The sequence below is a fragment of the Homo sapiens genome, chromosome 9 (assembly GCF_000001405.40).
Source record: "Homo sapiens chromosome 9, GRCh38.p14 Primary Assembly".
In the NCBI taxonomy this organism is placed as follows: Eukaryota; Metazoa; Chordata; class Mammalia; order Primates; family Hominidae; genus Homo; species Homo sapiens.
In genome coordinates this window covers 4,620,845-4,636,283 of record NC_000009.12, presented here as the reverse complement: position 1 = coordinate 4,636,283, position 15,439 = coordinate 4,620,845, and the positions used below count along the sequence as shown (strand labels likewise).

Genomic DNA, 15,439 nt, shown 5'->3' with positions numbered 1-15,439 from the left:
TATATGTTAATATGTAAGTATCAAGCATAATGAAGCATTTAGATGGGACATGATTTCCAAAATATCAAACAGGTCTGGTTAAAGATCCAAACAAAACAAAATACAATTGTTCCTTGATTTACACGGTACTTGGAAAAATTCAGTGTATTTCCAAATTATGCAAAAAAAAAAGGCTTTGTGTTTACATGCAACATAGTTATATAATTATTTTCAGTTACATAGTTAGTTAAGTTCTAGGCTCAGACAATTATAAAATAGTTTTTAGCCTGCAAGAATGTTTGCAGAATATTAGAAAGTCACTGGGGATGGGGGAGATAGTGTGATGTGCATGAGTGTCTTGAGCACTGCAGAACTCCCTCACACCTCTGGCTACTGCCCCTGAAATATTTCCACAAATGTCCAAAATGTCCTCGGGGTTGGTACCCCTGCTGAGAATCACAGCTGTAGCTGTCATCTGGGCCCTTGGCATCCATGCATCACAGAACACATTGAACCCCAGTCTAAACTGTAAAGTTGTGTGAACAATGCTATGTCCACCTTGTTCCTGTTCTATCCTCAGTGCCTGGGTTAAGGTTTATCATTAGTAAAAATTTGTTGCAGGAAAAATTGGATGGATATATGGAAAGATAGTTTTTCCTTTTTGTTCTATTTTGTAGAACATCTCTTTAGTCTTTTTTTCTCTGTTATGACTTTGGAAGGCTTTAAAAAATTATCCACGAGATAAAAAGTAGTAGAAATTAGTCTCCTCTTGAATAACATGTGCTAGGATCAATATGTCTATTTTTACCTGAGTGCCATCTCTGCCATCATCTGCCTGAACTTTTATTTTGTTAAGCCTGGAGGTGTAAATACAGATATTTATGCTTTTTCTATTTTCTTTCTAGTGTGGGATGAGTTGGCCTACTACGAAGAAAACACACGAGATTTTCTTTTCCCAGAGCCCAAGCTGACACCTTCGCACCCTAGGAGGTGTAGGGAGGTGCTCATGAAGACGGCTCTGGGTTTTCCAGTAAGTGATTCATGCTCATCTGGGCTTCTATTAGGAGAGAAACTCTTGGGACCTGAACGTTTTATTCCTGACAGGGTTTGATCTTTATCTTGGTTAGTACCCCTGCTGTTCTGTTTAGTAGCTCTGTTTTGATGCCCAACTCAAGGTACCAAATTATACTGATTTCCAGTATTGATCTGAGAGGTGGAAGTTTTATCTAATCAGGCTGAAATCATTGCCATATTTACATTGTCACATAGTTATAAAAGCCTCCTTTTGTTGCAGATTAACAGTAAGATTTGTTTGTTTAGTTATAGCTATTATGACTAAATAGAGTAGCGACAGTAGTTATCTTTATTTTGCGCTTTCAATTTTTTACGTAAGATATTTTTCTCCCAACAATTCTCAAGTTAGCCAAGGCAGATATGGTCTCCATTTAACAAAGAGGAAACTGACAGAGGCTCGCAAATTGATATTACTGAAGGATCTTGAAGGATGTAGCAGATATTCCGTTGATAATTTAATTCTTTGGGGGGCATTATCTGAACCCAAATTCAGGATACTCATTTTGATGTTGTCTTTGACGATTTCTATTCCCACAGCAACCCTGACGATTTTCTTGACTTTTCCATCACTTGAATGATCTCCATTTAAAAGGCCACACTTTTGAGAATTATAAAAAATATTTTGATACTCAGCGTTTCTCGTATTGCCCCATGAATTTCAATTAATATAATTTGTTATTGTTTCTACTTTGTTGAGAGTACTGTGCAGAATATATTTAATATAACAGTCAGGACCTCTGTTTCTATGAAGCTTATCATGACAGAGCTTCTAATACATCAAACAGCAAGCATTCATTAAAGGTTGTCCTAATCAGAATTCCTGATGACTGTAACCCCAAGACCTTCATTATCTTTCAGAGTTTGATGAATTTCACTGAAACTATCTTTGTTTCTCCAAGATCTTCATGTATCATTTAAATCCATGGTACATGTGAGAAGCTTGCCTTTAATTTATTTTATTTTGAGTTATTGGGATATTGCTCTTCAGAAGATAAAAGGGGTTAAAAACTGATGAGAATTAGGTAGGGGATACTCTGTTATATTAACTTTGGTTTGTCTAGCTCTCTGTTAAAGAAAAGGCATCTACAAACACTGAGCTGGTATCCAGCCAAGTATCAAGATAAAAAGAAACAAACTTTCTTATATTTTCTTAAGTGTTATCTCTCTTTAACTTTATGGTCATAAATAGGAAAAATAACCTATAGGAGGTTGTATTTATAGTTATTTATAAATGCAGTTAGTCATTAGAGAAAGGGTTTTTTAAATGTGTGGAAACACCTGCATGCATTAGAGGTAAAGTATTCTTACAATTAACTTAATCAAATTATATTTTAAATAATTTGTGAATAGATAGAGGGACTCAATTTCTCTCAACCATTCTATAAAGCAAAATAAAACCAATTCCCATAGCAATGGTTTTTGGAGGGTGGGATCTGATCTTATTTGTTACTCAAAAAGTTTTATTTTTGACTGGACTCAGAAGTAGAAGCTCACAGAGAGGGCCACCTGCACTGTTGGCAATCTATTCCTGGCATTTTTCTTTGGTCTCCTTCATTCTTTTGGCCAAAAGTTTCGCATATTCTGCAGCCTCTCTCTTATTTCCCTTAGTAGTCTGTTTCTTCAGAGTAATATGCCAGAGTTTGTGTTACAGGACATGTGGAGTAACGAGACACTGAATCTTGGGTGCTTTGGTTCTAGGTTTCTTACCTTCTTTGTTTAAGGGCTTTATTACAATATATTGGCAGATATCATCTTTTTTAGAGTGATTGAAAAGTGCAGATTCTGCTAGGTCTTTTGGGCCCCAGGTGACAAGGCACCATAGTGTCAGTCACTCCGGGAATATCCTTCTCTCCTTTTTTAATGATAACCAAGTTGAGAATGGTCAGATTGGTGACCACATTGTGACCCTGAACAGATTTTCACTTTCTTTCTCCAATTCTTCTTGGTCTATAACAGGAATGCCCCTTCTCAGTAGCAGGTAGACTTGGCCATGGGTCAAGATACTCTGCTTTATGGGGAAAACTTGTTTGTCTTTCCCACCGCTGATTTGGACCACATAAGCCTCCCAATCTTTACCCAGAGCATCTCAGTAGTAACTTCTGTGGCCATATGCTTCTCATAAAAAGTATGAAGTTTGCTTTCATCATCCACTTCAATTAATTTCTGGCAGCCAGTGGCTGGAAAGGAAATATTCAGCTTCGTCTCTTTTTTTGTTTGTTTGTTTTTGTTTTGATGTCTAACCAAGTAACAGTTAATGTATTTATTTGTATACAATAAAAGTGTCATGAAAATTCTGTGTTGGGGATCACATCCATGTTGCTTTCACAAGTAAGTAAGTATTATTCTGAACTGGAGAATATTAGTTATGTCCTGATTAATGCAATACATACTTCCTTTGGCAGGTATTTCCTCTGCTTTAATAGACAATTTCAGAAAGACATGTTAATGGGGGAGAATCACACAATACTAAGGATCTGAGGGCCATAAACATCACATATGTTGAGTTTGCTTTTAGTTTTGTTTCCAACAGCTCTTAACCAATGTCCCTGGCTGTAATCTAGGTGCTAGACACATTGCAAATCCTCAAAAGTGTTTAAGATGAAAGAGTAACACACTTAATTTTTTTTTTTTTTTTGAGATGGAGTCTTGCTCTGTTGCCCAGGCTGGAGTGCAGTGCAGCGATCTCGGCTCACTGCAACCTCTGCCTCCCAGGTTCAAGTGATTCTCCTGCCTCAGCTTCCTGAGTAGCTGGGATTACAGGCACTCACCACCACGCCTGGCTGACTTTTGTATTTTTAGTAGAGACGAGGTTTCCTCATGTTGGCTAGGCTGGTCTCGAACTCCTGACCTCAGGTGATTCTCCTGCCTCGGCCTCCCAAAGTGCTGGGATTACAGGCATGAGCCACTGTGCCCGGCCTTCAGCTTCATCTTGAAGCAGCTGATTGCCTCCGAGATACCACAAAAAAGAGCCATCACTTCGATAATAGCTGATGTTTCAGCCTGGCCAGCACAGTGAAACCTCGTCTCTACTGAAAATACAAAAATTAGTTGAGCATGGTGGTGCACACCTGTAATCCCGGCTACTGAGATGCTGAGGCAGGAGGCAGAGGTCAGAGTGAGCCAAGATCATGCCACTGCACTCCAGCCTGGGCGACAGAGTGAGACTGCATCTCAAAAAAAAAAAAAAAAAAAAAAAGTAGCTGATGTTCACTGTGTGCTCACTGTATACCAGGCACTGTGTTGAGCTCATTACATGGATTATCCTGTTCAGTCCTCCTTCACCTTGTGAGGTGACAGCTATTCTTTCCCCACTTTAATGGAGAGGGAAGGTGGTGTAAAGAGTTTCAGAAATGCCCTCAGGGTCACAGAACTGGTGAGTGGTGGAAGAGGGACCCTCGTGCTGGCCTGACTGGCTTCAGAGCCTGCACTCTTACTCACTGAATGATGCTAATTTTCTCATATTTATTTCAGCCCACTATCTGATTTCTTTTCATTAATATTGTAGGAAGTAAGAATGAATTACATATATGTGAGACAAATCATTCACTTTATTTTCTCCTAATTTATCAATTGATTAATAATTAGATTTATTTCCTCCACTAGCATGTGGCTTTTCTTTGTATTTGTGTATTTTGCTGTTTTATTTCACTTGCTACTTAATGGTATTTTTTATTTCCTGGTGAGGTCAAGAATTTTTTTATTTTTGCAATATTATCTAGTCTCATCCATTAGATAATAGATAATATTACTGTCTCATCTATCAGATAATATATAATATTACTGTCTCATCTATTAGATAATAGATAATAAAAGATAATAATACTGTTTTCCTATGAGGCAATGAGAAGATTGCACAATTATCTATTATCATGTTAGGTTAAGACTGACTTTGTAAAGTGAGCATAAAAAGCATTTAAAAATTATTTTTATTTATGTATTGTGTTATTTATTATGTTAAATCCTTTTATTGACCAACCATTATCACCATCGTTCCATTGGTAAGGAGACTGGATGAGATATAGTCTCTGAATTTCAACTCTAAAGTATAATGTTATGCTAAAAACAGCACGGTATGAAAAAGAAAATACATTCTTCTTTATTGTCTGTAAGTCATTGCAAGGAGTGGAGGTCATATAAGGTGAACAAAAGTGTGTTACAGAGTGTGGATTCCTTACCAGCAGGGGACTTCCTTCCTTCACTCTGGGCAAAGTCGATCAGGAATTTGAAAATCTATTAGGCAGCTGCATGTACAGTGGTTAAGTGTGGAATCAGATTGTCTGGGTTCATTCCCAGTTTTGTCATGAATGGCTATGAGACTTTGGTTAGGTTAATCTCTTTGTGCCTTAGTTTACTCATCTGTAAAATGAGACTGTAATGGTACATCCCTTACAGGATTATTGTGAGTGTTAGATGAGGTAATATATAGTGTTTAGCACAATACCTGGTATATGTATAGAAACCCTTAATAGCACTGGCACATGTAATAAGCATGCAGTAGGTGTTGGCTTCTTTTCTCTTGAGGGCTTCAGCTGGGGCAAACCTTGTTTTGGAAGCATCTTGAGTATAAGTGGTATAAATGAAAATGAAATATTAGAGACTGGAGGGAGAGACTACTATGGGCTTACCTGGAGGAGTTAGAGTGAGATCAGACATTGAGAGATGGGTAAAATTTGGATGGAAAAGAAAAGAAGGAAGATGCCCTCAGGGCAAGAAGTAACTTGGCCAGGTGGTGTTCTCTGGGGGAGAGTAGAGCAGAGAGGTGATGCAGAGGGGCCACTGGTGAGTCGATGGGGTCAGGTGGAGACAGTGTAATTTAGTCAGATCCAGGTCCTGTCCCTGTGGTGCCATTTATAAACCTTGTAAATTTGGGGAAATTGCCTTAATGTCTCTTTAGGCCTGTTTTTTGGGGAAAGCAGTTGTATTTTAAAAATTATTATACAATAAAATTGATGCTTTTTTGGTCTACAGGTCTATGAATTTTAACACATGTATAGATTTGTAAAACCACTGCTACGAGCAGGATGTAGAACAATCCCATCCCTCCTAAAATCCCCCTCATGTTACCCCTTTATAGGCACTTCCTCACCCTCACCCTGAGCACTAGTCTTTTCTCTATCACCATAGTTTTGTTTTTTTGAGAATGTCACATAAATGGAATCATACAGTCTGTAACCTTTTGAGACTGGCTTTTCTTACTTAGAAGAATGCTGTTGAGATCCATCCATGTAGTTGTGTGTGTCATTCATTTGTTCCTTGTTATTACCGAGTAGTTTCCATTATGTAAATACACCACAGTTCATCTGTTCACCCATTAAGGATGTTTGGATTGTTTCTAGTTTTTGCCCATTTTTCAGTTTTATCATCTGTAAAACAGGATGATTGTAATAATTGTACCTACCCTATAGGATTATAAGAATTAAACAGGATAGGGCATATATATATATATATATATATATATATACACACACACACACATATATAAAACACAATATTTTAGACAGTATGGTACTAAGAACAAAAAATAGAAATAGAAAAATCAATGAAACAAAATGAATTTGGAATTAGATCTAATGAATATAAATATCTGATATAAAATATAAAGCAAGTTTTTCAAAGCAGGTAGGTAGAGAGGAAGGCTCTGTATTCATACCTCTCTCTAGGTAATCTCATTCAATTCCATGGTACAGTGTTTTAAATAGAGTAGCTAACATCATGGACACTGGAGCCGGAATGCCTGGGTTCAATTAATAGCCCTCATTACTAGATGGACATGTTACTTAAACTGTGTCTTAGTTGAGGAGATACTATTATAAAACCTGCTTCATGGGGTTGTGTTAGGATTAGATGAGTTAATATATATGAATTACTTAGGCCTGGCTCTGATACATAATATATATTACATAAGTGTTTAGCTATTCTTATTACATATATATTTTAGATAATGTGTGTGGATTATGCCACACAGAAGAGCAGTTAGGTTCTTGTATGATTTCAAGTTAGAAGGAGATGGCTAAAGAACTGTTTCTAGTAATTTTATTTGCTTTTTTTATGCTGTTTTATAGGGCATTGCTCCCAAAATAGAGTTTTCTACAAGGACAGCCATCAGAGAATGTGTGTTTCTGCATAGAAACAGATTTCTTGTAAGTACAATACAAATCTAGTGATAGAAATGACCGGATTTTTTTTTTTCAAATTTAAAGAATTTTTGCCCAAACTCAGTTTATTAAGTTTACATGAAACTAAACAAGTAGAAACCTGGAAAGTTTTTACTAGGTTTGTATTTCTATAATTCAAACTGTTTGCTCAGCCAGTCATATTAGAGTATGTTTGGTACATACGTTTGGCAGCATGATGTAGCTGGAAGCAGGGTGATTCAGAAGCTAAAATTACAAATTTGATGTAAGTGAGCTAATTAGCTTTTGTTATTGTTGTTCTATGACATTTACTTGTGATCTTATGAACAACAGTTTCCATCTTTCTTTTTTAAAAATTTAAAAATTTTAGGCTGGGCATGGTGGCACTTTGGGAGGCCGAGGCAGGTGGATCACCTGAGGTCAGGAGTTAGAGAAAAGCCTGGGCAACATGGTGAAACCCCACCTCTACCAAAAATACAAAAAGTAGCTGGGCATGGTGGCGTGCGCCTGTAGTCCCAGCTACGGGGGAGGCTGAGGCATGCAAATCGCCTGAGCCTGGGAGGTCAAGGCTGCAGTGAGCCAAGATGGCTCCACTGCACTCCAGCCTGGGTGACAAGAGTGAGACTCCATCTCAGAAAAAAATAATGATAAATAAATAAATAATAAACATAAAATAAAAATTTAGAAATTTTAATTTTTTATGGGTACGTAGTACCTGTATATATTTATGGGGTACATGAGATATTTTGATATAGGCATACAGTATGTAATAATCACATCAAGGTAAATGGTGTATCCATCACCTAAAACATTTATCTTTTGAGTTACAAACAATCCAATTATATTCTTTTAGTTATTTTAAAATTTACAGTTAAATTATTATCGACTATAGTCACCCTGTTGTTCTATCAAATACTAGATCTTATTCATTCTTTGTATTTTTTTTTTGTGCCCTTTAACCATCCCCACTCCCCCTCAGCTCTCATGACCCTTCCCAGCCTCTGGTAACCATCATTCTACTCTCTGTCTCCATGAGTTCAATTGTTTTAATCTTTAGCTCCCACAAATAAGTGAGAATATATAAAGTTTGTCTTTCTGTGCCTGGCTTATTTCACTTGATATAATGGCCTCAACTTCCATCCACGTTGTTGCAAGACATAAAAAATAATGGCTGAATAGCACTCCATTATGTGTATGTAATATAATTTCTTTATCCATTCATCTGTTGATGGACACTTAGGTTGATTCCAAATCTTGGCTATTGTGAATAGTGCTGCAGTAAACATGGGGCCACCTTTCTTTTGCTGAGGCTGATGCTCGGATTGTATTCATGGTCCGTCTTTGGTAAGCGTGAAGCGTCTTAGGGCATCCATGTGTACTACCTCAATTTTACTTGCTTCTTCAGTCCTAGTGTCTGCCTCCCTCACCCCAATTTCTTTCTGTTTTGCTTTTACCTTATTGCATATAATGTTGTTGCCACTTAAAATCCTTTCTAGAACAAGATGGAGAAGGAATAAAGGTAGTTTGTGAAGCTTCTCCAAATACTTTGGGACAGGGTAGAGTAAAACCTGTAAGTGAAACAAAATGCTTATCCCAGATCTCATGTAGGGTCCTAGAAAAGACCTTGAAAATGTGGGCTGTATGTTACAGAATACTTAATGAGAAAGAAGGGCCAATAATCTGTGCAAATCTATCAAAACTCTTAGCTAAATAACTCATATAATGGGAGACCAATGATTAATTTTAAGGAAGGCATTATCTGCTTTTTAGTTTTGCCTTATTTATCCTCTCTTCTCTCCAATTTATTTGTGATGTGTTCATAGCAATTTTTCAGTGTTTCTTTCTCTTCCATTCTACCATCTTAATGCTGTTTTAACTTCCTAGGTCCTTCTTTCAGTGTTAACTTTTTAAACAAATAGTTTTATTGTTTTTTTTCTTGAACTCCTGGCCTCAAGAGATCCTCTGCTTCAGCCTCCCTACGTGTTGGGATTACAGGCATGAGCCACCACACTGTCTGTTTTTTTTTCCCTTAAAACAAAAGTATCACTTTATGTTAGAAAATTAGAAAACAAAGATAAATAAGCAAAAAGGACCCAAAACTTAAAAAAAACTGTCTCATTCTTGCCATTTAGAGATCAGCATTAATTTTTTTAGTATATTCTGTACACACATCACACTTTTAAAAAAGATTGAGATCACGCTGCATTGCATATTATTTTGTACCCTTCTTTTTTTTACTTAATTTATGATAAACATTTTCTCATGTCCTCAGGTACTCTTGTGCCAGACAATTTTTCATGGCTTCATAGTATTCCATTGTATGGAAGTACTGTAATCTGTCTGGCCATTCATTTTCCTTTTGTTGAGCACTTAACTGATATATCAGCCAGGGTCCAGTCAGGAAACCACACCAAACTTGTGACTGTAACAGAAAGATTTAATTTTTAAAAATGGCTAAACAGGGGTTGAAAGAAAGACTGAAAGATAAAAGGGGAACACTGAAATGACAGAGTAACTGCAGGAAGCAGCTTCCACCCCTAGGGCTGGGGAAACAAAGGGAAGATGTTGGTTCAGCAAGAACACAGAAGCTTAAAGAAGAAACTGAACAGAAATGGGACCCAGACCTCTGGAGAAGGGCTGCTTTCCTGGATGCTTCTTCAGGAATTCGAAGGTGGGACTTGGATGAGCTGGAACTCAGATCTCAAAGGAGGGGCACTGCTCACTGCTGGTGCCACAGGAGCTTGGAGGAAGGTTCCTGTGGGTCTAGACTCAAATCTGAACAGGGGGCTCTGGTCAGCTGCCGCTGATATGTCTGGAGGAGTGCAATGGGGCTAGTCCTGGCATAATAGGGGAAAGGCTATAATCTGGAGCCATTTGCAGCTGTTAAGGCGAAGAATGGTTGCAGGAATGATGCTAACAGGAATAGAATGCAAAACTGGAAGTAGCCAGTCACTGTGTCTCCTCCAGCCTTGCACTTTCTCTAGCACCTTCCAGTGGCAGAGCCTACAGAGACCAGGTGGAAAAGCAAAAAAGGGAGTTTGTAGAGTCCCTGGACCAGTATTATATAGCTGAGGTGGATTTGCAACTGAGCGCAATTGCTTACTCACCAATACAGCTGGTTTCTAACTTTTAAACTATCATAAGCATTTTTGTAGCTATACATATAGCCATAGTTATTTCCTTATAATACATTCCTGGAAGTGAAATTGCTAGACCCCTCTATGTGTCAAATTCTCTATTATCTATCTATTGGAGGTGTCTGACACTTTCTAACTTCCCCCTATTATAAATAAATCTCACTGTTAATTAGTTGAATACATTATACTAGCAAGTTATAAATACTACTGATGTTAAACTGAACAGGAAAAAAATTAGAGAAATGTCCTTCTTAAGTTTATGTTTTATAAATCTGAGGTGTGTTATCTTTGACCTTAATTTTTAAAAATTCAATTAAATACAGTTATATTCTGATTGAATTTTCTTCTTTTCTTTCTTTATTTTAAAAAATATTCTTTTTTTGTTTATTTCAGGAAGAAAGACATGAGTCACGGAGGCCTTTATCTACATCACATGAACCAATATTTCCCTTAAATACTATAAAGATGAAACTAAAGGAGAATAATCTCAACAGACTGCCCAAAGGCATGCAAGCCCGGGCGCCCTCTCAATATTCTACCAGGCATTTCTTCCAGGACCAGCCAGCTCAGTTGAACCTTGGAAATAATTTCAAAATCTCTGGAGGAAGCAAGCCTCCATTTGTTGTTAGACACGTGAGCCTAAAATTATTTTTTAGAGCATTTTGCAATAGTGAGGATATGGATGAGGGTGGAAGAAAGGAAGGTTGAGTTATAACAACAAATGAATAATATTCAATAAAAAGGTACTTCAAATTGAATAATAATTGTGATTAAATTATGTTCATTTCCTAGATCGTTGTCAGGAAACCCCTAGAAAGGTACCTTATACAGGGGACTTGCTCAGTAAATGTCAGCCATCCCTATTTTTAATTTTTGAAAATTATTAACAGAGTATAATGCCTACACATGATAACTTGCCATTATCTTGAAGAGTCAATGAACTGACAGAGGTTGCAAATGCATAATGAAGGTTGGCACACACTCTATATCAATCCAAAACTAAAGCTTCATCAGTTTTAAAGAAAACTACATGAGTTTTATTAATGAGATTGGTGCTTAGTGGCCATATATTGAAGAGCCAGAAAAGTTTTATTTGTAGGAAGAAGCAATGTTGTGCGATACTCAAAGCCCTTAATTAAAGTCATCTTAGATTTTGTCCTCAGGTAGTGGTAGGCAAATTTAGTCACACTAGTTCTCTTAGTCTCTTTACATTTTTTTTTTTTTTTTTTTTTGAGACAGAGTCTTGCGCTGTCGCCTAGGCTGGAGTGCAGTGACACAATCTCGGCTTACTGCAACCTCTGCCTTCCGTGTTCTAGTGATTCTCCTGCCTCAGCCTCCTGAGTAGCTGAGATTACAGGTGCCCACCACCACACCCGTCTAATTTTTGTACTTTTAGGAAAGACAGGGTTTCACCATGTTGGTCAGGCTGGTCTCGAACTCCTGACCTCAGATGATCCACCCACATCAGCCTCCCAAAGTGCTGGGATTACAGGCATGAGCCACTGCACCAGCCTACAATTTTTTTGCTACTATAAAAGTAATGGAAAACATAGAAAAGTTCAAGAAAAAATTTATCCATTGGGTCACCAGCATAATAAAATCATTGTTTGATTTAATTTGACGCAATTTCTCTGCCTTATGCTTGCATTCATAGGCTTTATTTTTTCCACAAAGTTGTAATTATACTGTATATACAGATTAGTTTTCCTATATATTCCAATTAACATTACATTAAAAAAATTTCCTATATTATTTTGTAGTCTACGTGAACACCAGTTCGTGTTCTAATTAATGACTTATTCTCCAGAATGTTAACTATTGATAGTATCATTAAGTTGATATTTTGATTTAAAGTCATCAGTGGTGATGCTTGTGTATTAGGCAGAGACTATGAATTGTAGTAAATCTCGAAGTGAAGGTGCTGTTGAGATAACTGTATGTAGAGTTGGTTTGTAGGTAAAACAGAGCTGTTTGGCTAGAAACTTCAGAACAGCTATCTACAAAAAATACACAACAGCTGTTGCTTGGTGGCCTGGATAATGACATCTGGCAAAAATCTAACAACCAATCTTTAAACATGTAACCATAAAAATATCGAATTGACTTCATTTATTTCATTTCATTGAAAATATATCTGATTTACTTCATTTGATATAAATTATTGTAAAATACAACTTTAGTGCATGCCATTATGAACTAAGTAATCTTAAAATCTTGATAGATTTCTTAGGGGATTAAAACTTGTTTGATACTTATTTTATTTAACAAATTCTTATACAGCTTTTCCTATGTGCCAAAGTCTTTTATCAGTGATTTTACATATTTAATTTTTTTATTTAGTCAGATTTTCTGATGATATGTGATGTTTCCTTAAGTAGAAGCATTAAAATTTAGAAAACCTGATGTTATAAAGACTGTAAATTCAAGTCAATATATTAAAGTAGAATGAAAAGTAACATTATAACCTGCCTTATTAAAATGTTAAAAAACAGAAAGTAAAAAACAAATCAGCAACTCTATATTGTAGCTATTTGGAAGAGTCCCTAGTTCAAGTATTTTGACCTGTTTGCAGATCATGTTACCCAATTTTTCCTTAGGAGAATATGGTCAGTCACCAAAGATAAATAACATAGTAATATAGTTGCTATTATTATTATTATTTATTATTATTATTTTTTTGAGACGGAGTTTCACTCTTGTTGCCCAGGCTGGAGTACAATGGCATGATCTCAGCTCACCGCAATCTTCGCCTCCCGGGTTCAAGCGATTCTCCTGCCTCAGCCTCCAGAGTAGCTGGGATTACAGGCATGCGCCACCAAGCCCAGCTAATTTTTGTATTTTTAGTAGAGACGGGGTTTCTCCATGCTGGTCAGGCTGGTCTTGAACTCCCGACCTCAGGTGATCCACCCTCCTCGGCCTCCCAAAGTGGTGGGATTACAGGTGTGAGCCACTGTACCCGGCCTAGCTACCCTTATTCTTTTTTCAAAAATGTAGATACTCGGACCAGAGAGGAATGTGGAAAGTAGAAATGTCATCTTATGGGAATCCCTTGCTGTCACTGAGGACCCCATTTAGGCCAGCACTACTCATACTGTTTCAGGAATGTGAAACGTTGTCCTATTTTAAGAGATTGTGAAATAAAGCTTCACTTGCTCTCTTTCTGTGCGGGATCCTTACCAGTTGTTGGAATATAATTTGTGTCTAACTTTAGTTTTTATGCTAATGTTTAGCTTACGTCCTCATGTTCTAGCCTCAGTGAAGGACAAACAGTTTCTCCTTTTAGGTGTAACATGTAACAAACTTGCAGACTGTGCTCTAGGTGGTTTTCCAGCCTTCTTTTTCCAACCCGTGTAATCAGTGATTGAGGGGGAGACAGGCATTCCGGTAACGAGGGGAGGGTACTAGAAGCTATAGTGGATTCTAGTCTTATTTCTTTCCTTTACTTTCAGGTGGACAGTGCAAAGCCCTTTGGTGAGAATATTTCAGAGCATCATTTGAGGAGGTCTAGAAGAAAATCTAAGTTTTCAGACTTTCCGTTTCCAACGAGAAGAGGTACTCGAGTTTCTTGTTACTCCTGTACATTTCCCTATGGCAACAAATGCGTCCTGAGTATACTCTTTCATTCTGAGGAATCACAGGTGATGTTCAGAACTGTGAGCCTAATTCTCAAGTACTCTCCAGCTGTGGAATTTCCAGGGCAGTGTTCCCATGAAGCAGCGTCAGCTGAGAAGCTTCTGTCTGAGCATTCCCCTCGCCGTTGAAGGGGACCGTTCTGAGCGGCGTGCTGAGTGTGCTGTGGTTGCAGTTGTCCCCTGGCTGTTCCGGGGAAGCAGAGTGCAACTTGTCCTGCTGTGAACCCCTTGCAAAGTCACCATTGATGCCTAACAAATAAGGCTTTCCGTTTTTCTGGATGGCAAAAAACAGGAGATTGATGGTGATCAGGAGATGTAACATTTGCTTTACAAGATTTCATGTCAGCGAGGTGGGAAGCCAACTCTATCTGAAGCAGTTAGATGAAGGCAAAGTGTTCTTAAACCTTTAAATTTCAGGCCCTTTTGCATTCTTAAATATTATTAAAGAGCCCAAAGAGCTTTTCTTGATGTGGATAATATCAGTAGTTAGCATGTTAGAAATTAAAACTGATACATTTTTAAAATATAAGAACAGACTACGGCCGGGTACGGTGACTGACGCCTGTAATCCCAGCACTTCGGGAGGCCGAGGCAGGCAGATCACCTGAGGTTGGGAGTTTGAGACTAGCCTGACCAACATAGAGAAACCCCATCTCTACTAAAAATACAAAATTAGCCGGGCGTGGTGGCACATGCCTGTAGTCCCAGCTACTCAGGAGGCTGAGGCAGGAGAATCGCTTGAACCCGGGAGGCAGAGGTTGCAGTGAGCTGAGATTGTGCCATTGCACTTCAGCCTGGGCAACAAGAGTGAAACTCTGACTTAAAAAAAAAAAAAAGAATAGCACACATTCCATTAGCCATTGTGATGGTGATGTCATGACATCATTGTAGCTTTTGGAAAACTCCATTGTGCAGTGGTGAGAGAATGGGAATGAAACAGTCAAATCATGTCTTAGTATTATTATGAAAACAGTTTGACGTTGCAGATCTCCTGAAAGGTCTTGGGTACCCCTGGGGGAGATCCCTGGACCACACATTGAGAGTCACTGGGTTAAGGAACCCCTTGTAGGCTTTTGACTGAAATCCATGAATCATGCCAGTAGTGAAGGTCATGTCGGTGAAGATCAGTCATTCCTGAACTTAATCAAAATTCTTAGGCTGGAAAGGAATGGTGGTGGTCCATTCTCTTGCCTGCTGGTAGTACTGGACTTTCTATCTGTTGCCATCCCTGACAATAGAGATCTTTATCTTAGGCTTAAAGGTTTACATTTTAAGGGACTACTTTTAAGTCTCTTATGGAAACTTAAGCCAGTGTTCTTAGACTGTGGTAGCTGTTTGACAGCAGCTGCAAGGACAGAGTAGAGTTTGAAGCAGAATGTGCTTCATCACCTCTGACATTTAATTTAAGTTCTTTGAGTTGAAAATCACCTGTGTAGCTTATAAAGCAGCATTGTCTTTCCTACTGCAGTGAAATCAGGCAACA

General features: G+C 37.9%; 1 protein-coding gene and 1 pseudogene across 18 annotated transcripts in view, besides 1 other annotated feature; one reads left to right on the top strand and one right to left on the bottom strand.

The window, feature by feature from the left end:
* Window positions 1-15,439, top strand: part of SPATA6L (spermatogenesis associated 6 like) — a 77,660-nt gene that overhangs the window by 30,197 nt on the left and 32,024 nt on the right. For 10 of the 18 annotated variants that reach the window (NR_148445.2, NR_148446.2, NR_148447.1 and 7 more), the window contains 4 exons: window positions 885-1,009; window positions 7,116-7,193; window positions 10,718-10,957; window positions 13,774-13,876. Coding sequence is in view for 12 of the 18 variants with exons in the window: in NM_001353484.2 (NP_001340413.1) it covers window positions 885-1,009; window positions 7,116-7,193; window positions 10,718-10,957; window positions 13,774-13,876 (546 nt within the window). In the remaining 6 variants the exon portion in view is untranslated. Of the gene's footprint in view, window positions 1-884; window positions 1,010-7,115; window positions 7,194-8,427; window positions 8,532-9,224; window positions 9,859-10,717; window positions 10,958-13,773; window positions 13,877-15,439 lie in introns of those variants that run through there. The other 8 variants (NR_148443.2, NM_001039395.4, NM_001353488.1 and 5 more) reach the window with 6 other exon arrangements.
* RPS6P11 (ribosomal protein S6 pseudogene 11) lies at window positions 2,514-3,252 on the bottom strand (annotated as a pseudogene).
* Window positions 4,934-5,486: an enhancer, noted in NCBI's record as "OCT4-NANOG hESC enhancer chr9:4630798-4631350 (GRCh37/hg19 assembly coordinates)". NCBI's record gives its function as "activates a minimal SCP1, AML or CMV promoter by ChIP-STARR-seq in naive and primed H9 embryonic stem cells {active_cell/tissue: H9 hESC(naive and primed)}" and the evidence as "EXISTENCE:reporter gene assay evidence [ECO:0000049][PMID:30033119]".